This window comes from Homo sapiens, chromosome 17 (genome assembly GCF_000001405.40).
Source record: "Homo sapiens chromosome 17, GRCh38.p14 Primary Assembly".
Taxonomy (NCBI): Eukaryota; Metazoa; Chordata; class Mammalia; order Primates; family Hominidae; genus Homo; species Homo sapiens.
This window is the reverse complement of record NC_000017.11, coordinates 6,630,012-6,651,699: the sequence shown is the minus strand read 5'-3', so window position 1 is coordinate 6,651,699 and position 21,688 is coordinate 6,630,012. Positions and strand designations below refer to the sequence as shown.

At 44.8% G+C, this 21,688-nt stretch overlaps 4 protein-coding genes across 15 annotated transcripts in view, besides 9 other annotated features; 3 read left to right on the top strand and 1 right to left on the bottom strand.

Moving 5' to 3' along the window:
• Positions 95–8,389, top strand: MED31 (mediator complex subunit 31). The gene is made up of 4 exons (NM_016060.3): positions 95–199; positions 1,267–1,344; positions 1,622–1,718; positions 7,041–8,389. The coding sequence occupies exons 1-4, from the start codon at positions 172–174 to the stop codon at positions 7,231–7,233; spliced, it is 396 nt and encodes a 131-aa protein (NP_057144.1). The 5' UTR covers positions 95–171; the 3' UTR covers positions 7,234–8,389.
• Positions 251–380: an enhancer, noted in NCBI's record as "active region_11589". NCBI's record gives its function as "activates an Ori minimal core promoter by ATAC-STARR-seq in GM12878 lymphoblastoid cells {active_cell/tissue: GM12878}" and the evidence as "EXISTENCE:reporter gene assay evidence [ECO:0000049][PMID:35858748]".
• Positions 451–530: an enhancer, noted in NCBI's record as "active region_11588". NCBI's record gives its function as "activates an Ori minimal core promoter by ATAC-STARR-seq in GM12878 lymphoblastoid cells {active_cell/tissue: GM12878}" and the evidence as "EXISTENCE:reporter gene assay evidence [ECO:0000049][PMID:35858748]".
• Positions 621–680: an enhancer, noted in NCBI's record as "active region_11587". NCBI's record gives its function as "activates an Ori minimal core promoter by ATAC-STARR-seq in GM12878 lymphoblastoid cells {active_cell/tissue: GM12878}" and the evidence as "EXISTENCE:reporter gene assay evidence [ECO:0000049][PMID:35858748]".
• Positions 7,159–10,640, bottom strand: TXNDC17 (thioredoxin domain containing 17). Its single transcript, NM_032731.4, has 4 exons — positions 10,473–10,640; positions 9,866–9,947; positions 9,376–9,451; positions 7,159–8,749 (listed from the first exon to the last, which is right to left on the bottom strand). The coding sequence occupies exons 1-4, from the start codon at positions 10,615–10,617 to the stop codon at positions 8,681–8,683; spliced, it is 372 nt and encodes a 123-aa protein (NP_116120.1). The 5' UTR covers positions 10,618–10,640; the 3' UTR covers positions 7,159–8,680.
• Positions 9,921–9,980: an enhancer, noted in NCBI's record as "active region_11586". NCBI's record gives its function as "activates an Ori minimal core promoter by ATAC-STARR-seq in GM12878 lymphoblastoid cells {active_cell/tissue: GM12878}" and the evidence as "EXISTENCE:reporter gene assay evidence [ECO:0000049][PMID:35858748]".
• Positions 10,181–10,450: an enhancer, noted in NCBI's record as "active region_11585". NCBI's record gives its function as "activates an Ori minimal core promoter by ATAC-STARR-seq in GM12878 lymphoblastoid cells {active_cell/tissue: GM12878}" and the evidence as "EXISTENCE:reporter gene assay evidence [ECO:0000049][PMID:35858748]".
• Positions 10,581–11,462: an enhancer, noted in NCBI's record as "H3K27ac hESC enhancer chr17:6543558-6544439 (GRCh37/hg19 assembly coordinates)". NCBI's record gives its function as "activates a minimal SCP1, AML or CMV promoter by ChIP-STARR-seq in naive H9 embryonic stem cells {active_cell/tissue: H9 hESC(naive)}" and the evidence as "EXISTENCE:reporter gene assay evidence [ECO:0000049][PMID:30033119]".
• Positions 10,989–21,688, top strand: part of KIAA0753 — a 62,565-nt gene continuing 51,865 nt past the window's right edge. For 9 of the 12 annotated variants that reach the window (NR_147086.2, NR_147087.2, NR_147088.2 and 6 more), the window contains exons 1-2: positions 10,989–11,063; positions 16,529–16,689. Coding sequence is in view for 8 of the 12 variants with exons in the window: in XM_047437193.1 (XP_047293149.1) it covers positions 16,597–16,689 (93 nt within the window). In the remaining 4 variants the exon portion in view is untranslated. Of the gene's footprint in view, positions 11,064–14,032; positions 14,055–15,686; positions 15,803–15,828; positions 16,300–16,528; positions 16,690–21,688 lie in introns of those variants that run through there. The other 3 variants (XM_011524095.3, XM_011524091.3, XM_017025455.3) reach the window with 3 other exon arrangements.
• On the top strand, positions 11,384–14,920 carry LOC122526780 (uncharacterized). Its single transcript, NM_001396008.1, has one exon. It carries the CDS (start codon positions 11,384–11,386, stop codon positions 14,918–14,920), a length of 3,537 nt encoding a protein of 1,178 aa, NP_001382937.1.
• Positions 12,361–12,430: an enhancer, noted in NCBI's record as "active region_11584". NCBI's record gives its function as "activates an Ori minimal core promoter by ATAC-STARR-seq in GM12878 lymphoblastoid cells {active_cell/tissue: GM12878}" and the evidence as "EXISTENCE:reporter gene assay evidence [ECO:0000049][PMID:35858748]".
• Positions 13,375–14,156: an enhancer, noted in NCBI's record as "H3K4me1 hESC enhancer chr17:6540864-6541645 (GRCh37/hg19 assembly coordinates)". NCBI's record gives its function as "activates a minimal SCP1, AML or CMV promoter by ChIP-STARR-seq in naive H9 embryonic stem cells {active_cell/tissue: H9 hESC(naive)}" and the evidence as "EXISTENCE:reporter gene assay evidence [ECO:0000049][PMID:30033119]".
• Positions 14,157–14,939: an enhancer, noted in NCBI's record as "H3K4me1 hESC enhancer chr17:6540081-6540863 (GRCh37/hg19 assembly coordinates)". NCBI's record gives its function as "activates a minimal SCP1, AML or CMV promoter by ChIP-STARR-seq in naive H9 embryonic stem cells {active_cell/tissue: H9 hESC(naive)}" and the evidence as "EXISTENCE:reporter gene assay evidence [ECO:0000049][PMID:30033119]".

Below are 21,688 nucleotides of genomic sequence, written 5' to 3'. Positions count from 1 at the left end.
CCAGCGCGGGTGGAGCCATCCCAGGGCTGGTCGGGGATGGGCGGAGCCGCCCCGCCCCATATCCCACAGTGCCCCGGGACCGGAAGAGGGAGCCGTGGTTTCCGGAACTTCGCCCGCGTCTCTGGGCTTTTGCTCTGTCAGGCTGGTGGCGTTTTGGTGTCTTCGTTTGTTATGGCCGCTGCTGTCGCTATGGAGACAGGTGAGTAGCTCTCTGATCTTGGAGTCTTCGCAGATGGAACTCTCCTTGACCCAGACCTCTTCCCCGTGGCCTCCTTCCAGGCCTTACTCTTGGCAGGGTTAATATTTGGACAGAGAGGAGAGAAGGCTCTTGTAGCGTCTAGAAAGACTAAGGTACTCTTTGCAGTTTTCCTGATTTGGTTTGTTCGCACATCTTTGCTATTCAGACACCACCCCACCAGCTCCCTGGCGTGGGTGAGACTAAGGGAGAGGACTTGTGTGTTAAACCGTGTCCTCCTTGATTGGTTTTCTGCTTCTCACATGAGCTTGCCTAAGTTTGAAATATCGTCGCCAGACTTGTGTATCATTCTGCTACTGGTGCTTCTTTTTTTTTTTTTTTTTGAGACAGCGTCTGGCTCTGTCGCCCAGGCTGGGGTGCAGTGGCGCGATCTCGGCTCACTGCAAGCTCCGCCTCCTGGGTTCACGCCATTCTCCTGCCTCAGCCTCTCAAGTAGCTGGGACTACAGGAGCCCGCCACCGCTCCCGGCTAATTTTTTTTGTATTTTTAGTAGAGACGGGGTTTCACTGTGTTAGCCAGGATGGTCTCGATCTCCTGACCCTGGTGCTTCTTATATGCATGCGCTGCATGATCTTTTAGGCTCTCCGCAGTCTCTTGCATCCTAAGTTTTTCTTTACTGATTCAGCCCCTAGCGTTTGCGAAACTTAATCACTGTTAACAGTTGTTACAACGCATTATTAAAATAGGGGAAGCCACAGTTATTACAGCCTACCTTAGTGATCACTGTTAAAATTCCTACATAGTGGCCCACGAGTGGTAGGAATTCTCCGTTTGTGTTGCTGTTTTCTTTGATGATTTCTCTTTAACTTTAGAGAAACTTCTAACTTACTCCTTTTAATCAGGGCTCCGCTTTTCTTAGATTTCGAAGGAAGGTTTATCTCCTCCCACTCCTAGTTTAGGAAGACCATCTCAACATTAGTCAGGTTTCTTTATTGCTCTTTCCTTACTACAAATCAGTATTATATACAGTGACCTTTGTTTTCCATGATTTTTGCTGTCTTGTCTCCTAGATGATGCTGGAAATCGACTTCGGTTTCAGTTGGAGTTGGAATTTGTGCAATGTTTAGCCAACCCAAATTACCTTAATTGTAAGTTGTTAAGCACCTCATTAAATTGAGTAGCTATTAATGATTTCTGACAGAAGAGTTGCAGTTCAAAATAGTATCTACTTTTACACATTCTCAGTTGAATGACATTACACTTATGCTGGTATATAGATATAATTGCGTACTGGGACTTGTGTTTTGAATCCAATGTGTGTTGGTGGTGGGGGTGTTATGTAAATAGATCCTTTATATTAGGGGTAACAAATCACAGTTTAAGGATTGGTTTGACCTACAGATTTTTTTTTTTAATGCTTTTCAGTTCTTGCCCAAAGAGGTTACTTCAAAGACAAAGCTTTTGTTAATTATCTTAAATACTTGCTTTACTGGAAAGACCCAGAATATGCCAAGTATCTAAAGTAAGTTTAATTTTTATAATCCTAAGCATGTGTATACTTTATTATATAATAGATTTCTTAGTTTCACATTGGCAAAAATGTATTTGGAATCTCTCCACTTCTTTTTGTTATCACCGTCTTAATACAAGACACCCTCATCTCTAACTTGTAACACTGCAGTAATCTACTCCCTGGTTATCTGTGCTTCCACTTTTACCTTCCTGCCCCCATCTCCACCCCAACCCAAACCAAGCAAAACAGCTTTCTACACAGAAACCAGCTTAATCTTTTAAAAATATAAATCAGAACACTTTACTTTCTTGCTTAGAACCTTTCAATGGCTTTCCATTCCATGCAGAATAAAATCCAGTCTTTTTTCTTGGACTAAAGCCTTATACGATCTGGCCCTGCCTTTTCTGACCTTGTCTTTTACCACCCTTCCCATCTCACCAGGTTTCTGGTCCCTAAGAACTCACAATCTGTAAATGTAGTAGCATAAGCCATGGGCTGAAATTAAAAGAGGGTATCTGTAAGGAAGGTGTTTCTGGGGTTATTTGAAGGAGGTGATCTTACCTGAGTCTTAGAGTTGCTGTCTTTTATTTAAGGCCTCTTATTTGCCAGGAACAGTGCTAAATGCTTCATATGCATTAACTCATTTATATATATATATTTACCATTCAGGTCGTTCAGCAGACACTTTCATGTTAAGGCTTACTAAGTTGCAAGAAACATATTATAACCACAAAGCAATTCCCTTTTAATGGTTAAAAAAAAAAAACAAAAAAAACAAAAAAAACCAACCCACCTTGAACTCACACCCCTGCTTTGTCTTAAGCAGGTAGAAAGCAATAATGAACCTTTAAAAAAAAAAAAAAGTTTGAGAGGAAAATGTTTCAAACTTCTCTCAAAGTCACTTTTCTGTGTCCAATAACAATTGACTCACGAAGCACATACGTCTTATGTTGCCTGCAGGACCGTTTGCACCTTTTCTGGCTTTTTATCCATTTAATAATCCAAAGAACAGACTTTTAAGAAAAGTAGACTTCAACGAATATTGTATGTATGTAGATTTACAGACTCAGTGTTGGAAGCCTTAGCCACCAACAAGTTTAATCTTACCCACAACGTTGCCGAGAGATGGTCATCTACACTCTGGAGGTTTCCATTGAGCCCGTGTTACTCTGTCAGGGACAGCTGATTCGATTGTTAGCCAGATATTAGAAAGTTCTTCCTTATATTGTGATATAATGTACCTCCTTGTAGCCCCAGTCTGTTTGTCCCTGGATGAAGCTAGAACCATTCTATACCCTCTTGAGGACAACAGCCTTCCAGATATTTACATTCAAGAGAGACTGCAAATTAGCCCCTTTTGGGTGTTTTATTCAGTCTGCAGAAGATTTTAGTTTTTTTAATACTTGCCAACATTTAAAGATCAGAAAGTTGTATATAACAAATGCAGATTTCCAGCTACTCTTTCAAATCTGGAAGATCTAGTAACCATAGATCTTAATTCTCCCAAGTCAACAACTGGGCTGAAGCTGAGAGCAGCTGTCACTACTAGCTGCTTTCCACCTGGTGGAAGAGACACTTTCTACCACTTGGCCTGCTTCATTGATAGCCAGTAGGTGCCACTATAACATCTCTCTTCCATCTATTTTTCTCAACTACCCTCTGCCATTGTGCCATGGTGTCCAGAGTTCTCATGAGTTGAGGTTCCCTCCTTTGGATATTTGGCAGTTGTACTTTATGCAGTTCAGCCAAGAACTAAACACAGGCCTTCAGGTGTGGTCAGAGTACAGTGGGCCAGAGGTCCTTTCTTTTCTTCATGTGGTCATACACCTCTGTTAATTCAACTTAAGTTTATATTACTTTTGGGGGTGGGAGTGGGGAAGAGGATCACATTGTTGACTTGCTGGAAGCATTATGTCAACTAAAATCCTTCAGTTCTTATTTTCATCATGCTGTTGGGTTCTCCCTATGTTGTTTCTTTTTAAAAACACCAAATGCAGAACTTCCCTTTTATACTGCTTCTATTTCATCTTGTTGACTTGTAGCCTATCAGAGTATGATTCTTTATTGTCATCTAAGGTATTCTGATATAATCACTGCATGTCTAAATTCTAGTTATTGACTAAATGCTACTTGAGACCATTCTCTTGGTTGTCACATTATTTTACAGTTGAAGAAACTGAACCTTAGAGAGGTTAAGTACCTTGTTAAAGGCCACCTGGCTGGAACATAACATCCTGGTCATTTTAACTACTAATGCTGTCATGAAAGGGAGTTAGCCAGGGCAGGTGTGAATAGAGCATTCTAGCATAAGCAGCCAACAATTAGAGCAACTGTGTATTTTTAGTGTGTGGATAGCAAATCTTTGCTGTCTTGGAAGTTACTATCTTAGAAGCATGGTATTAAGCCCTCTATTCAATGTGGTGTTCACATCAGTAGCATTGGTTTCATTTGGGAGCTTTTTAGAAATGCAGAGCTCAGGCCCCACTCCAGGCCTAAGGATTCAATCTGCATTTTAAGAAGTGACCCATATACACATTAAAGTTTTAGAAGCATTGCTGTAGTATCCTATTTTCCACACTTTAGTCATTTGCATATCACTTGTGCAACTTTGGCTTTATCTGCATACTTCCTGAAGGGGGCCTGCCCCTCCACACCTGTGGGTATTTCTCGTCAGGTGGAGATGAAAGAATGAGAAAAGAAATAAGACACAAAGTATAGAGAAAGAACAGTGGGCCCAGGGGACCGGCACACTCAGCATGCGAGGACCCGCACCAGTGCCGGTCTCTGAGTTCCTTCAGTATTTATTGATCATTATTTTTACTGTCTTGGCGAGGCGAGTGTAGCAGGGCAACAGGTGGCGAGAAGGTCAGCAGGGAAACGTGAGCAAAGGAATCTGTATCATGAATAAGTTCAAGGAAAGGTACTGTGCCTGGATGTGCACATAGGCTAGATTTATGTTTCACTTTACACAAATATCTAACTAGCAGAGAGCAACAAAGCAGTATTGCTGCCAGCATATCTCGCCTCCAGCCACAGGGCGGTTTTCTCCTATCTCAGAATAGAACGAATGGGAATGGTCGACTTTACACTAAGACATTCCATTCCCAGGGACGAGCAGGAGACAGAAGCCTTCATCTTATCTCAACTGCAAAGAGGCCTCCCTCTTTCACTACTCCTCCTCAGCACAGACCCTTTACAGGTGTCGGGCTGGGGGATGTAAGGTCTTTCCTTTCCCACGAGGCCATATCTCAGGCTGTCTCAGTTGGGGGAAACCTGGACAATACCCAGGCTTTTCTGGGCAGGGGTCCCTGCGGCCTTCCGCAGTGCATTGTGTCTCTGGTTAATCGAGAATGGAGAATGGCGATGGCTTTTACCAAGCATACTGCCTGCAAACATATTGTTAACAAGGCACATCCTGCACAGCCCTAAATCCATTAAACCTTGATTCAATATAGCACATGTTTCTGGGGGCACAGAGTTGGGGCTAAATTTACAGATTAACAGCATCTCAAAGCAGAACAATTTTTCTTAGTACAGATCAAAATGGAGTTTCTTATGTCTTCCTTTTCTACGTAGACACAGGAACAATCTGATCTCTTTTCCCCACACTTCCTATATGTTAATGTATTTTAATTGTCTGTTAGCTTTTATGTCTTTTCAACTTGAAATAATTTCACTTACAAAATAGCTGGAAAAATAGTAAAGATAATTCCTGTATTTTGTTCACCCACGTATTCCAAATGTGTAACACTACAATCAGCAAAAATCAGCACATTAATATTATTACCTAATCTACAGACCTCATTCACATTTTGCCAGTTGTTCTGCTGGTGTGCTGTATGTAGTGCAGGATCCAGTCTAGGCCCGTATGTTGCATTTTGCTGTCATGTCTTCTTAGTCTCCTTTCATCTCAGTGGTCTTTTCTTTTCCATGACTATGACAGAAATGATTTGTATCCTTCATATATCTGCAGTCACATGAAGTCTATTTGTCCCACTACTGGTGACGTAAATTTTGGTAACTTGGTTGAGGGTGGTACCGTCTAGGTTTCTCCATATTAAGTTGCTATTTTTCCTTGTGTATTTAATAAGTATCTTATAGGGAAATCCTTTGAGACTATGTAAATATCATATTACATGTATTTTGCCTGTTTTAGCATCTTTTGAAGATAATTGCCTGAAACATTTTTTACTGTGATGATTTTCTAATTCTATCATTCTGCATTTATTAGTTTGGAATTCGATTGTAAGGAATTATATTCCCTTGTTTCCTATTATTTTATTAAAGAAATTTACATCCATTTAGTGTGGACTTTTGGATTCTTATTTTTAGTAGAATTATGAATTAGAATTATGTATTTTCTTGCGCTAAGTATTCCAGATTTGGCCATTGGGAGGCCCTTCAAGTTGGCTCCTGAATACTTTTGATCCTCCCAGGAATTTTTAGCACTTTTTCTTCTGGCACTACGTAATGTTCCAGGCTCATCTTGTACTTTTCCTGTCTTATCCCTGAATCACCCTTTTCTCCAAGGAAACCTGCTCCTTGGAAACCACAGTCTGGTCATTGTGTGTTCATTAGTACCACAGTGTCATTGCTTCTAGGCCCTGTCAGTACACAAAGCTCAAGAACTATATATATATGTATGTATGTGTATACATGCACACACATATACATGTTTATTCTATGTCTATATTAAAAGCCGTAAGTACATACTGATGTTTTCAATACCAGCTCAGTAACACAGGGTTCATTCTAGCCTTTTTCCTTTCCATGTCTATAACTCCTTTTCTGATAGCCAGAAATTTGGCTGTCCTTATCCACAGTATATTTGCTTGTCCAATCCTAGAGTATATCTAATTTCAGAATTGGTATATCCCTGTGGACAACAAGAGTACAATGTATGCGCATAGTCCTCTTTCACACTCACTTTTAAATGAAAGTTGTCTTTTTATCCCTATTGAAGGAAAAATGAGTAACTATCAATTAAACACATAATTACTAAAATATGTTCATGTTCTTCACGTTGGAAACCGCTAGAAGGGAATAGCATGGTTTGTCCCTAAATTTTCACTCTGCTTACCAGTTACTGTGTTGTGTGGTCTTGAGCAAGTTAATTTAATCTTTCTGAACTTAAACCTTCTCATTTTCGAAAATATTGAACACTGACCTTTGATGACTAATCGGGGAAAAAACCCTATGCTACCAGAGTGTACTAAGTTACTGTTATAGAAATGGTAGGCTACAAGATCGTTTTTAAGAGAATAACTGAATTATACCTTGGCATTATTTACCTAAATTATGTTGTTCATTCACTTACAAACTTAAACCCAGGTACCCTCAGTGTTTACACATGTTAGAGCTGCTCCAATATGAACACTTCCGAAAGGAGCTGGTGAATGCTCAGTGTGCGAAATTTATTGATGAACAGCAGATTCTACATTGGCAGCACTATTCCCGGAAGCGGATGCGCCTTCAGCAAGCCTTGGCAGAGCAGCAACAGCAAAATAACACATCGGGAAAATGAAAAACTGGATACAAACGAGGCACTTAATACATGTATATAATGTATTTCTTTTGTACAGTGAAGACAAAAAAAATGAAAACTCTTCCTATCTACCTTTATTATGGTAGCCCCTAGAACCTTTAGTGTGCTTTTTCATCCAACTTTTTATTGTTAATAGACTATTTCTGTTAAACCTGAATTGTTCTTTGATTTCCCTGTGGATTTGTAAGGTGTTTTTCTTTTTTACGCATTTAGCATAATCAGCTGATTAAGAATGGAAAAGTTAGGTGCTTTAGACCAAATAAGGCACTGGGGCATGGGGTAGGGGTGGGCCACCAAGTATACTGAATTCTAAGGCTAGCTGTTCCTGACATATAGTAGGGCAAGACCATCTCCTGGAACCTTACTGTCTCAGATCAACTACTCTACCACTCTACTCTAAGATGTAGTGAGAGTAGCGGAGTCACTGACCTCTTTAAATCATAGGACAGGAACTGCATAAAGGTTCTTGAATTCTGCAGGACAGGAAATAACTGTATTACCTGCTTTGCAAGGTGGCTTTAAGAATCACTGAATCACTGTGGCCTCACTTGACCTAGTCATGGCAGGACAACTAGTGGTTAGTTACTAACTGGACTCTTGACTTTAGAACAAACATGAGGAGCCTCAAATACTTGTGTTCATTTGGGAAAGCTACCATTGATTTGGGAGGTACCACAAACCAGGTGCTATGTTAAGTGCTTCCTTGAATTCTCATTTTATTCTAAGAACCTTGTTTATAGAAGAGAAAACTGAGGTTTGGACGGGGTGAGTAACTTGCCTGTGGTTACACAGCTAGTAAGTGGTAGAGTCAGTGTGACTGACTCCCAGCTTGGAGTTCTTCCCAGAACTGGGTTATAGAGTCTTTCCGGCCGCTCTCCGCCACCTGCCTCATCCCAAGTAAAGCACATTGAGACAGCTGCAAAACAAACTGCTTCTAGTGCTCAGGAGTCTGTTTTTTATTAAACAAAACAAAACTGCCTGAATTAAGCAGAGGCTAGATTAGAGGTCATGTGCTTTCCTTCAGTGGTGAGGTTAGGTTCTACATTCCAAAATCAAAGAAGGGGTTTCAGGAATATCATCAGTTGCTTTGCAGATGGAGATAACTTAAAATAAAAGATACTGATCTTTTGAGAGATTTGGAAGGTGTGCTCTGCACCTTTAGGAGTTTTTAGGTATTTCCGTCACCTTCAAGAATACGTTCCTTTGAGCCTTTACTGCTATTTCTGAAGACTTCTTTATATCTTAAAAATATCCATGTATTACAGGCAAACTAAAGGTTCATGGGCATTTTAATAGCACTCTATTGTTTAGACACATGCCAGTTTTTTTAACATCATTTATTGCTAACATGAATTCAAAGCAAGTATACAGTTTATTGATACTAGAACAAATCAGGACATCAAGACATGATTGCCATCCTAAAATCTTAATCTTCAGAGAACAACATTTCCACCAGGTTGGCCTGAAGACACTCAGATTCTACCAGTTTTTGAGGCTGTAAGAGAAAAACAGTCAAATCTTCACTACTTCTATAAAACGTTATTAGGAGTGGAATGAGTTCTGCCTTGAATGACACTCATCTTTGAACACAGAAATTACGCAATTCAGAAACTATCATCTAGTTATAACAAGTTTTATGAAAGAATCAATATATTTGCTGTAAGATGAATCACTAACATACTTGGCTCAAGAGACTTAAACCCCAAATACCAGGAAGCTCCACAGACTAAAACAGGAGACAGCAAGCCCAGTGCCCTCTTCTTCCCCTCAACTCTTTAATTTAGGATCCCAGGGGCATGACTGAACTAGAAGAGATGCCCTTACTTTTTAACCAGAATTATGAATTAAACAGAAAACAACTGTTGATGCAAATGTTTTAAGGAATTATGAGTCAACCTACTTTCTGGTTTTTTAAGAGTGACTTAACATGAAAAAGACCTAATAGCTAGATATTTACATTATCAGTTTATTGGGATTGGCCATAGGAATGGACTTTCAGCAGCACTCTGAACAACAATGGAATTGAGATGAAATGTCAAGATCTTTTCAAATCTGGATCCACAGCAAGTTAAAAGAGTTCTGACAGTGAATTACAGGCCCAGCATATTTAAAGATACTTACTGTTCCATACTTAAGTAGTGTAGGCACTGCTGTTACTTTCAAGTTTTTTCTGAAGTCATTATTTGGATCTTTCCAACTATTCGAAAAGAAAAAGTGATCATGAAAAAAATTTACTTGGTTTATTACAGTTTGCTTAATATTTGACATAGTCCTACATTTAATTTTTTAGTAATCACTGTTCTTGCAAACACTTAAAAAACCTTGCGGACTATGGCTTAATCTACTAATTACCCTGTGCAAAGTTTCAAAGTGTGACTAAGATATAAAAGTAAAGCCAGCTAAGTTCTGGGCTTACACCAGACCAAATTCGTTGAATTACCCTTACTTAATTCAGGTGGGCATTTTAAATTTGTATTTAATAGCTTCTAATTGTTTAACTTGTCAGACATTACCTTGTAAGACAAACTGGGTAAGTAAGTCCCTGAGGCCCTTCCCGCCTAAGTATGCAATTTGTGCACGTCTGCGAGGTAGATTATACATTGCCACTTACTAAGGCTTTTCTCCTACTTGGCAGTAGATGAACACACATCCTTCACTAATGTGCTTCAGCCCCTCTCGTACGACTGGTTCAGCTTTAAAAAAAGTTGAGATAAAATAATCGCACGTCAACTCTACAATCAGGCACGTATAAACTGTGTTCTTTCCCCCTTCCCCCAGTCTTGGTAAGCACTCAGACTTTAACCTGCAGCTAACTGAAGAGGTCAACACAAGTCAGGTGTTCCCTTCTGGTCTTAGAGCCACGTTAAGGGTAAGGACCAAATCCCAGTCCCGATTTGCCCCTGCACCACCGCGCCCGTAACAATGGAAAGCACATGTATTTGCTGACCAACTCACGTATCCTGTAAGACACTAATGGTACTGGGGGAGTGAGAAGTTTTAAGGAACTAGATTCCAAGATCATCCGGGTAAGGTGGTAAAAGGAAGAGCGCTCTTGGCAGGGCGGGGTAGGATTTAATAGAAGGAGACTTGGGGACAGCTCAGATTGCTCCGCGGATGTCTGGAACCAAGACTCTGCCTCCGCTAAGCCCCCCTTCTGGCCGTAGGCTCGACCTTCCTGCCATTTCCATTGGACAGCAGCCCCCGAATCCCGGCCTCACCCTGCACGCAGTCGGGGCACCAGCTTTTCCCCCCGGCGTCCTTAGAACCCGTAAAGTAGGCGAAAATGGTCTTGCCATTGTGCTGTTCCACGGCCCGGTGGAACTCCTCGAAGCCGGACACGCTCACCTCCTCATAGCGGGCCATTGGCACGACGTGCAGCCGCTACTGGAGGAGTGCACGTCCGGTCGCCGCGGTTGGGTCCCGCGTAGGCGGGGCGAGGCTGTTTCCGGGTGGGCAAGAGAGGGCGGAGCCTGCGGAAGCCAGCGCCGCTAAAGACTACGGGAGCCTCTGACGACCACAATCCATCCGCATGGCTTTTTGCTCTAGTTCCTCAGATCTTTCTGCGCTAGCTGCACTCCCAAGCCCAGGCTTAGATCTACCCTAATCTAGTCCCAGCCCCGACCTCATGGACACTGGCTGCAAAACTTACCGCCTTGCAACACCTGGATCCTTAAATAGTTCAGGGCCTCAAAGGCTCCCAAGCCGCCCTGCGCCTGTTGCTATGGCGACTGGGCAGGCGGCCGGAAGCGCGGCCTTGTTGGGGGCCCCCGTTGCCCGCCTCCCAGTAGCCGCGCCTCACCCTAGGCCAGGTGGGCTCGGGCCGGGGCTGGGGGGGATTCTGGGAAGCCGCATAGAGTCATGGACTTGGGGGAGAGGAGATCTGACTCGGAAAGCCTTTGTTGCTTTGTCCCCCCAGTTACCTTTTCTGCCGTCTAGGCTTTACGGGGGCCTGGGACTGGGGGCGGGTTCCCGAGACTGGGCGGGGGTGGGATGGGTGAGGGGCTCGGAGGGAGAAAGGCTGCAAGGCCGGAGCGGAGTGTGTGAGTGCGTGTGTGGAGCAGCTTAGGGAGCGAGGTGCTAAGACATCCCCCAGGGCCGCGGTAGGGAGGAAGGGAACTGCCCTGGAGCTATGAGCCGGGAGACTCGCCGTGGGGCCTTGCCCAGGCTGCGCCGGGGAGAGCAGGCGGCTAAGATGCCGGGTCGCTGCGTGGGGCCCAGCAGGTCGGGGCGGGGGGTTCGGCGGCCGTGGGGGAAGAGACGGGGCGCAGGGACGTCCCGAGGCCGTGGAGCAAGGCGCCGGGCGAAGCCCTCGGAGTGGGAGACGCGCTGTGTGAGTGCAGAAAGGCCACAGGGCCGTCAGCGGCCATGGGGGACGAGACAAGCGGCGGAGACAGCCGACGCCGCCGGGGCGAATGAGGCTTTGGGAGCTCCTGGGACCCCAGGCTCCATCGAGGCTGCAAGGGACCCTGGGGCTGTGTGGGTGAACGGGGCTGTGGGGGAGCCCGAGGTGGTGGGGCTTGCCGGGGCTGTGTGGGTGACCGGGTCTGGGGAGGAGGAGACCGAAGATAGAAGTCCCCGGGGCTGCGAGAGAAAAGGTCGCCCGGGATCTCTGGGCCATGAGAGCATTCTGCACCTGTGGCTGAAGGTGCAGGCTATGAGGGCCGCCTCGGGATGTGGGGAAGGAAGTAGAGTCGAGCTCCATCCCGTGCCTGCAGGAGAGGGACCTGTCGAAAGGGGTGTTCCTGGCCGAGCTTCCTGGGTAGAGACAAGCCGCGGCGGTCTTACAGGGCCCTGGGTGAAGGAACAGGCAAGGGGGATCCCTCGGGCCCCCTCAGGGCCCACAGCTCTGGGCTTAGGGGCAGCTTACGAGAGAGCCTTAGGCTTCTGTGGACAGGGACAGGCTGGGAGGGTGCCTCCTGCGAGTGTGCCTGGGGCTTTGGCGTCAAGTTCTGAAATGGCCCCGCACCTGTGGAGGGGAGAAGCTGTGGGGGTTCCTGAGACTGGGGAGGAGATAGGCTATGGGTTTGTCTCAGGCCCTTGTGAAAAAGAACAGACTATGGGCGAGCCTGGGACCGTGGGGTGGACTGGGGCTGTGGGAGCGCCCAGAGCCATGGAGGGAGAGCTCGGCTGTGGCGGTGCTGCAGGTCTGTGGGGGAGAGGACAGTCCCCGCAGATTCCTGGGGCTCTGACACATGAAGCAGTCTGTGGGGCCACCCCTGGCGTATGGGGGAGGGGACAGGCTGTGGGGGTGTCCGATGCTGTGGAGGAGGAGCCTACTTCTGTGGGTGCCGCAGGTGTGTGTTACAGGAGACAGGCTGTGGAGGAGACAGACTCTGTGGGTATGCCCGGCCCGTGGGGCACAGGATACTCTGTTGGGGTGCCCTGTGCTGCTGAAGAGGAAACTAGATGTGGAGGTGACCCAGGGTTCAGGGAAAGGGGACAGCCTGTGTGGGTGGAGACAGGCTCTGGGGGTGATCCAGGGTCACGGGGAGCTGCGCAGACTGCAGAGTCATCATGTCCTGGGGAGCAGGCAGCAGGTTCTGGGGGTGCCCCAGGCCTGTGGGGGATACAACAGGCTACAGGGGTACCCAGGGCCTTGGGGAAGGACACGGGCTGTGTGAGTGTCCCAGGGCTGTGGGGAGCGGGACAGATGGTAAGGGTGCCCCAGGCTGTGGTGGTACCTGGAGCCCTGGGAGAAGAGCTGAGCCACAGCGGGGGCCTGGGCCTGTGGGACGGACAGCAAGCTCTTGGGGGGCCCCCAGCCGAGGCAGTGCCTGGGCTTGGAGAGGAGACCTGTAGTGGGAATGTTCTGAGCCCGTGGGAAAGGAGGCAGGCTGTGGGGGAGCCAGAGAGTCTGGGGCCTCCAGCTTTAGGGGTCCCTGGGTCAGTGGATCAGGAGGCTGGCTGTGGAGATGTTGCATGTCAGTGTGGGAGGAGGCAGGCTGTGGGGGTGTCTGAGACGGTGGGCATACCCAGGGCAGCAGATGTGCCCCGGCAGGGGTGTGCCGCAGCAGGGGTCCTCATGGCAATGGGTGTGCCCGGCTCTGGAAAGGTGCCTGCCAGAGTGCCTGCTGCTGTGTGGGCGTCTGGTCCTGTGTGTCAGGAAGGCAGCTCTAGAGACATTTTGAACCTGTGGGAAAGGACTCGGGCTGCCAGAATATCTGTGGCTTCGGGGGGACCCGTGGCTCGGGAGGAGCTGTGGTCTGGCGGGGAGGAATCCGTGGCTTCAGGGGGACCCGTGGCTCAGGAGGAGCTGTGGTCAGGCGGGGAGGAATCCGTGGCTTCAGGGGGACACGTGGCTCGGGAGAAGCTGTGGTCTGGCGGGGAGGATTGTGGTTCTGGGGCCTTCCCGGGCCCATGGGGGAGGAGACAGACTATTGGGGTTCCTGTGGTGCCTGAGGGGCCTGGGCTTGGGGGGGAGACTGACTCTGGGGGTATCCCAAGACCCTGGGGACAGAGACAGAGGGTCAGGGCTCCTGTGGCCACCGAAGTCCTTCTGGCTCCTAGGGTGCCTGGTTCTGTGGAGCTGGAGCCTGGTGATGGAGGCTTTTCAGGCTTGTCAGGGAGGCAGCAAACTGCAGGAATGCCTGGCACTGTGGGGCTGTCTGCAGCTAGTGGGGTGCCCGTGGCTCCCAGGGTGCCTAGGCCTGTGCAAGAGGAAACTGGCTCAGAATTGTGGGGTGAAAGAGAGACAGTGGGCGGACCTGCAGATGCCAAGGGTCCCACAAGGATGGAGGTGCCCACCTCGACCAGGATGCCTGGGCCCATGGCGGAGAAGACTGGCTCTGGGGGTGTCTCAGGTTTGTTGGGAGGCAGACAGACTACAGGAGTGTCCATGGCTGTGGGGCTGCTGGGGTCTGTGGGGGAGGGGACCATCTTTGAGCATGTCTCTGGCCTGTCTGGAAGAAGGCAGACTGCTGGGAGGCCTGTGGCTGCTAGAGGTTCCATGGCCGTGGGAGTGCCCACAGCTCCCGGGCTTCCAGGGCCAATGGTAGGGGATACGGGCTCTGGGGATGACGGCTCAGGCATATGGGGAAGGAGACTGGCCACTGAGGGGCCCACAGCTGCCAGGGTTCCTGGACCTGTGGAGGGGGAGACAGGCTCTGAAGGTGTCTCAGGCCTGTGGAGAAGGAGACACGGTGGAGCCATTCCCGAGGCCGGGAGGGTGCCTCTGCCTCTGGGGGTGCTTGCAGCTGTAGGAGCTCCCATGGCAGGGCGTGCGCCTGCTGCGGTGTGGGTGACTGGGTCCTCAGGAGCAGAAGCGGACGTGGGTGTCTCAGGTCTGACCGTGCTGAGGAGACAGTCCACAGGGGGAGTGGGGGCTTCAGAGGATGAGACAGGAGGTGGGAATATTTTGGGACTGGCCGGGGGCAGCCAGGCTGTGGGGACATCTCACACCTGTGTGCCTGGGGCCAGGTTATGGAGCTGTCCAAGGTCTTTGGGGGAAGAAACAGCCTATGAGAATGCTCTAGGCATGTCAGGGACAAGAACAGCTGTGGGGGTACCCTCAGTTTCAAGGGAGGAAATAGGCCTTGGCCATTTCAGAGACCACCTACAGCCAAGTGGGAGGAGGCTGGCTGGAGGAGTGTCTGCAGTCAGAGTGAGAGGGAGCAATTTGGGAGAGAGTTATGTGGGGGAGGCTAGATTGAGGGGGGCGTTCCAGTAGTGTGTGTAGGGAAGAAGTTGGGGCTGTGTGGGAGGGAACAGGTTCGGGGTAGGTTTGTCATGGGTTGCGGATGAAGGCACTGGCTGTAAGGGCATCTCAGCATGGGGGAGAGAGGGTTTTCGTGGAGATGCCCCAGGGTATGTAGAGGGACAAATTGGGACGTTTCCTGGAGCAGTGGGAAAGGGCCAGATTGCAAGGAGAGTCCCAGAACTTTGTACAGGGGGACAGTTTAGGGGTGGGTGTCCCTGGACTTTGTGCGTGTGTGTGTATGTGTGTGTGTAGCATCACTTGAGGCATGCTGGAACTGTGGGGATCACCTAGTTTTTTTCTAGTGGAGAATGGACTATTTGGCCCTTGGCACCTAGAAGCAGCCAGGAGGGAAGTACTGACCATTTAAAAGTGGCAGATCTCCGGGCCCCATTTCTGCAGCCTTCATTCTGCAACTCCAGCCACCCACCTGTGCCAACGTCAAGCCAGTTGGGATTGCCTTGCTCATGTGCCTCCTCCCATCTGCTTTTTTCATGTGTGCTACAGCCTTAGAAATAAGGACTCTTAGACAGCTGTCTTTATGTTCCCAAGAAGTATCTGTCTTTAAGCAAATCTAGTCTGCAAATTTTGGATTTATTCAAAAGCTTAAATTAGGGTTTTTTTTAAAAAAACCTTGAATTTCCCAATTGATTTACTGTAGGATTTTTTGAGAGAACAAATTCCCCAGAGATTTAAAACTAGTCAGTTCACAGAAAATCAGCTTAACTCAACAAATGCTAAATTGTGTACTATGCTCAGAGCACTTTGTAATGGGAAATAGAAGAGCAAGACAAGGCCCTTCCCCTCAAGTCGCCTTGTCTGGCTGGGAAGATGAGACATGTACATGTGAAATAGGTAAATAACAGTATGAGACAATACTATACGTGATCAGTACGTGAGTGGCAGGGATAGTAAAGTCTATAATGAGGCCTTCAGAATAGGGCAAGGCAATGATAAGGGTGTAGCCCTTGATAGCTTACCGAGTGCTTTCATATCTATTATCTTGTGTACATATGTATAGGGTGGGGGAAAGATTGGGGGAAATGAAGATTGAGAGAAATCATTCAGCTCTCCAAATGGCAGATCCTGGCTTGAATCGAGGAATTCTGATGCTACAGGTTTACTTAGAGTCATTGAGAGTTATATGCCTTCGGGCCACCTGACAGAGTGAAGCATACTGCTTTCTGACTAGTATTAAGACTTGTTAATGTAGACTGCTTGTCCAAAAACCACCCTGCTGGAACATGCTAGTTTACCATGGCAAAGCTCTGTTTTGGGAATAACGCCTTGCTGGAGACCTTTGAGATTTGAAATTTGGAATGGAAAGGGCTCAAGAGATTATTATTAAAATAGTAAGTGTTCCCCTATTTTTTTTTGTTTTTGAAATTGGGAACTTCCAAAGTGTGGTTGCTTTTATAAATGGAAGAAACTATCATTTACCTGTCATTAAGCAGTCACTCTCAGTATGAGGTTACTATTGGCTACTTCTAGTATATTGCTACATGCACATGGCACTGTGTTTTATCTGTTCTTTTCCCTTGTTCAACGCTGTTGGTCTGAAGTAGCTTTGTTTCGTTTTAGGAATGGTTTTAGGGAAGACTGTTGCCGGATGACAAGGCTGTCACTATTGTTCTGTACTACCTGACATTATGGGACCAGGCCAGCCAGCTTCAACCTGTGTTCATCTAGCACCTAGGACCCAACTTGATGGGAGGAGCGACCCCAAAGTACTTCAGACCCAGGTAGTTCTATTTTTGCCTGAGATTTTTATTATTAAATATTTCAAACATAAAATTTGAAAGAAAAGGACAGTGAACACTTTTGAAATCACCTCCTAGATTCAGCAATTGCTAACAATTTTTTCTGTTTTTCTACCTACTCAACCATCTGTCTTTAAAATTTTTGCAGAATCACCCCAAAGCAAATTGCAGTCAACCTGATACTTCTAAATATTTGAGAATACTTCTCCTAAAAATGAACTCTCCTACTTAATCATGATACTATTCTTATACCATTTCTTATAAGAAATGGACCCAAAAAATTCCCTGTTATCCAATAACCAGTCTTTATTCAGCTTTACTCAGTTGTCTCAAAAATGTCTTTTCCCCTAGCATTATATTATGAAAATCTTTAAAAATACAGCAAAGTTGAATTTTACAATGAACACCTCACCTAGATTCCATTATATTTCACTTACTTGTTTCGTTGCATGTCTGTCACTCAGTCATCCCTCTAGAGATCCATCCATCAATCCATCTTATTTTTTGACACATTTCAAAGTCAATTGCAGGCATGAGTATCCAAACTACTTCCATATGCATGTTGTACATTAGAATTCACTCTGTTTAGGGCCAGATGCGGTGGCTCACGCCTGTAATCCCAGCACTTTGGGAGGTCCAGGCGGGCGGATCACCAGAGGTCAGGAGTTCGAGACCAGCCTGACTAACATAGTGAAACCCCCATCTCTACTAAAAATACAAAAATTAGCTGGGCGTGGTGGTGCACACCTATAATCCCAGCTACTTCGGAGGCTGGGGCAGGAGAATCGCTTGAACCTGGGAGGCAGAGGTTGCAGTGAGCAGAGATTGTGCCACTGCACTCCACCCTGGGTGACAGAGCGAGACTCCATCTCAAAAAAGAAAAAAAAAAAAAAAAAAGAATTCACCCTGTTTACTGATTTTTTTCTTTCAATATACATTTTACGTCAGAAATGGTGAAAGATGTACACATTGCAATGTGTACATCTTTTCACATTTGCTGAGTTTTGACAAATGCATACATATGTGTAACCCATACCTCTATCAAGATACAGATCATTTCTGTTATCCTAGAAAGTTCTCTTGATGCCCCTTGCTAGATAACCCCCACTCCTCCCCTCCAGAGGCAGCCACTATTCTTATTTTTTCCACCACAGATTAGTTTTCCCTGATCTAGAACCTTATATAAATGGGATTTTATATTTTTTTGGTGTTAAGACATTTCACTAGCTGTAAAGTTTTTGAGATCCATCCTTGTCATTGCATGTATCAGTAGTTTATTCCTTTTTAATCCTTTTTTCTCATTCCATACTATGAGTATACCACAGTTTGTTTATCCGTTCTCCAATTAATGGACACCTGGGCTGCTTCCAATTTGGGATTATTATAAATAAAGCTGCTATGAACATTCTTATACAGATCTTTTTATGAACATGTTTTCATTTCTTTTGGGTAAATATCCAACAGTGAAATTGCTGAGTCATGGGGTAGGTGTATATTTAGTTTTATAACAAACCATTGGACCTTTTTACATAGTGGTGGTACCGTTTTACATTCCTGCTGACAATGTATGAGAGCTCCAGTTGCTCCACATCTTTGCCAACACTTGTTGTTGTCTCTTTAGCCATTCTGGTGGGTGTTTAATAATATCTTATCGTGGTGTACAAAGAAATTTAAAAAAATTTTTTGACATAATTTCAGACTGACAGAAAAGTTGCAAGAATAGTCCACAGAATTCCTGGATACTCTTCTCCCAGATTCCTCAAATGCTAACATTTTGCTACGTATTCCCTCCTTCTCTCTCTCACTATCTCTATACACACACAAATTATTTTCTAAACCATTTAAGAGTAAATTGCAGACACAGTGCCCTTTTACCTCTAAGTATTTTTTTCCTGAAAATAAAGAATTCTATTATATAACCATAGTACAATGATCAGAATCAGAAATTAACATTAAATCGATACCATCATGTAATCTGCAGACCTTACTGAGATTTTGTTAGTTGTCCCAATAGTGTCCTTTATAGCAAAAGAAAATCCAAGATCATAAGGTGCATTACATTGTCATGCCTCTGTAGTCTCCTTTAATCTGATTTCTGAGTCTGTTTTTAGGTTTTGTGACATTGATTTTTTTTAAGAATATAGGCCAGTTATTTGTGGATTTTCTCTCAATTTAGATTTGCCTGATGTCTTCTCACAGTTACATTCAGGTAATGCACTTTTGGCAGGAGAACCACTGAATGATACTGAGTGCTTCTCAGGACACCCTATCAGCAAGTACATGCTGCCAATTTAGTCCCAGCACTAGCAGTGTTGACTTTCACCATTTGATTAAGGTGGTATCTGCCTGGTTTTTTCATTGTAAAGTTACTCCTTTGCTTTTTGTAATTATTTGTCTTGGAGACTATGTTAATGTCTTTTTAACACCTCAAACTTTCACCAACTACTTTTAGCATTTTTGCCTGAATCAGTTTTTTATTATGGTGGTTGGCAAATGGGGATTTCTAATTTTACCCTTCCTTCTACATTTACTTGTTGCCTTACTCCTTGCAATCTGGCTCTTTCCCACTGCTCCAGGAAACCCCTTCTTTTCCTAGTACTTACTTATTTATTTCAGCACAGACTCATTATTATTTTTATTCTCATTATTTATTTTGATGTGCAGATATTTATTTTGATGTTCAAATGGTCTTTGATTTAGCCAGTGAGAGCCACTTCTAGTTGGCCCCAGTGTCTCTTTGACATGATCTCATCAGTCTTTGACCACTTTATGGTGTAAAAAGACACTCCAAGGCTGGGCGTTGTGGCTCATGCCTGTAATCCCAGCACTTTGGGAGGCCAAGGCAGGAGGATCACTTGAGGTCAGGAGTTCAAGACCAGCCTGGCCAACATGGTGAAACCCCATGTTGCTAAAACCCCATCTCTGCTAAAAAATACAAAAAAATTAGCTGAGCATGATGGTGCACACCTATAATCTCAGCTACTTGGGAGGCCGAGGCAGTAGAATCACTTGAACCCAGGAGGCGGAGGTTGCAGTGAGCCAAGATTGTGCCACTGCACTCCAGCCTGGGTGACTCCGTCTCATAAATAAATAAATAAATAAATAAAAGATACTCCAGGCTCAACTTGTCTTTTCTTTGTCCTGGCCCTGGAATTAACCATTTATCCAAGGAGACTTTGATTCTTCAGTGGAGAATGAAATTTAAAAAATCACTATCTGGGGCTGGATGTGCTCCTTGATACTATCATGTCATTGTTTTAGGCCCTCTCAGAGGACAGAACTAGGAAATAGATGTATACTTGTGTGCATATACATACATGTACACACATTCATAAATGCACACCCGTACTCACATGTCTGTAGCTACACTTTCTCATCTCCTTCCTGTTTCTTTCTTTCTCTTCCCTTCCTCCTTCTCTTGCTGTCTATGTATCTTTCTGTGTCTGTCTGCCTATATGTCTGTATTAAAACTCACAAGTTCACACAGGTATCTCCAATTCAAATCCAACACTACATATTTCCAACTCCCTTGTCCCAGAGCATGAAAGCTGGCTATCATTATCCACAATATATTTACTTTTTTGCTCAGTTCTGGAATGTACAAAAGGTAGTTTCTGAATTGTAATCCGTGTCTCTGCTCAAGAAGAAGCCTGCAAAATTAGAGTTCAGTATTTGTTTAGAGTACATCTGTCTTTAGCCTGACGGCATATAGTCCAAATGCTATATTCAAAAGTTACTGGGGTTAATTTTTTTCATCTTCACTTTTTAGCGTGGTTATGTTACTTATCTGAGATTCAGTTTGGTTCATTGGTTTCTGTTGGTATTTATTTGGGGGTTTTCCACTATCCTTATGGATTTTTTTTTCCTTCCTTTCCCTCTTCCTCCCTTCATTCATTCATTTCTTTCTTCCTGTCTCTCGTGTATATGTGAAACATTAACATGGTTCCAAATATACAAAAAGGTATATTCAGAAAAGTTATCTGCTACCCCATTCCCTCTGTCCTTTCCTTCCTATTCCTACCAGTTCCCTGTAGATAACTAATCTCATTAGTCTCTGATTTTTGTTTTCTGTTTCTTTTTGCACAAGTGATTCAGATGTATATATATTTTCTCATGTCTTCTTTTCTTATATGAAGGGTAGTGTATTATAAATATACTTTTTGCGCATAGTGCTTTCTGCTGAACAATATATTCCAATCTCTCCACATTAATTCATAGAAGTGTCACAGAGATCTTCCTCATTTTTGTTTTATATCTTCATTTTACTCCAGTTTGTGGATAGACCATTGTTTACTCAGCTACTCTCCTTCATGGGGACTCAGATTGATTCTAATAATTTACAGTTACAAACAATATAGCAGTGAGTAACCCTGTACATGTTTATTGTTGGAGGTGTGTCTACAGGGTAAATTCCTAGAAGTGAGACTCCTGGGTCAAAAGTTAAATGTGATACTTGTCCTTCAAGTTGCCTGCTTGGGTCTCTTTCAAGTGTCTTTTCTTTCTTTCCTGTGCTAAATCTTTTTAATTAAAAAAAAAAGTGATGAATGCATGGTGTTTTTGTTAGCGATTGCCAAATTCCCCTCCATAAGAATTATGCCAATTTGCATGACCACCAGCACCTCTTCTATGAGGGCGCCTGCTTCCCACAGCCTCACCAACAGCATATATTGCTATACTTTTAAATTTTTGCTAATCGGTTGGGTAAGAGATGGTATTTCCATGTATTTTTAATTTGTGTTATGAGATTGAACATCTTTTTATGTACTTAAGGACCTCTTTTTTGGTAAATTGGTCATATGTTTTTCCCTGTTTTTATTCAGTTTTGATCTTTTTATACTTCAATAATTATTATTATAATTATTATTATTATTTAGACAGTGTCTTCCTCTGTCACCCAAGCTTGAGTGCAGTGGCTTAGTCTCAGCTCGCTGCAACCTCCACCTCCCAGGCTCAAGCGATTCTTGTGTCTCAGCCTCCTGAG

Excerpts from the sequence above, each read along its gene's own strand:
- MED31 (NM_016060.3), top strand. The coding sequence starts at position 172 with ATGGCCGCTGCTGTCGCTATGGAGACAG. Across the intron at positions 1,345-1,621 it reads CAACCCAAATTACCTTAATT|TTCTTGCCCAAAGAGGTTAC; the intron begins GTAAGTTGTTAA and ends AATGCTTTTCAG. Across the intron at positions 1,719-7,040 it reads GAATATGCCAAGTATCTAAA|GTACCCTCAGTGTTTACACA; the intron begins GTAAGTTTAATT and ends ACTTAAACCCAG.
- TXNDC17 (NM_032731.4), bottom strand. The coding sequence starts at position 10,617 with ATGGCCCGCTATGAGGAGGTGAGCGTGTCCGGCTTCGAGGAGTTCCAC. Across the intron at positions 9,948-10,472 it reads GTGCCCCGACTGCGTGCAGG|CTGAACCAGTCGTACGAGAG; the intron begins GTGAGGCCGGGA and ends CTTTTTTTAAAG. Across the intron at positions 8,750-9,375 it reads CACTACTTAAGTATGGAACA|CCTCAAAAACTGGTAGAATC; the intron begins GTAAGTATCTTT and ends TTTCTCTTACAG.
- LOC122526780 (NM_001396008.1), top strand. The coding sequence starts at position 11,384 with ATGAGCCGGGAGACTCGCCGTGGGGCCTTGCCCAGGCTGCGCCGGGGA.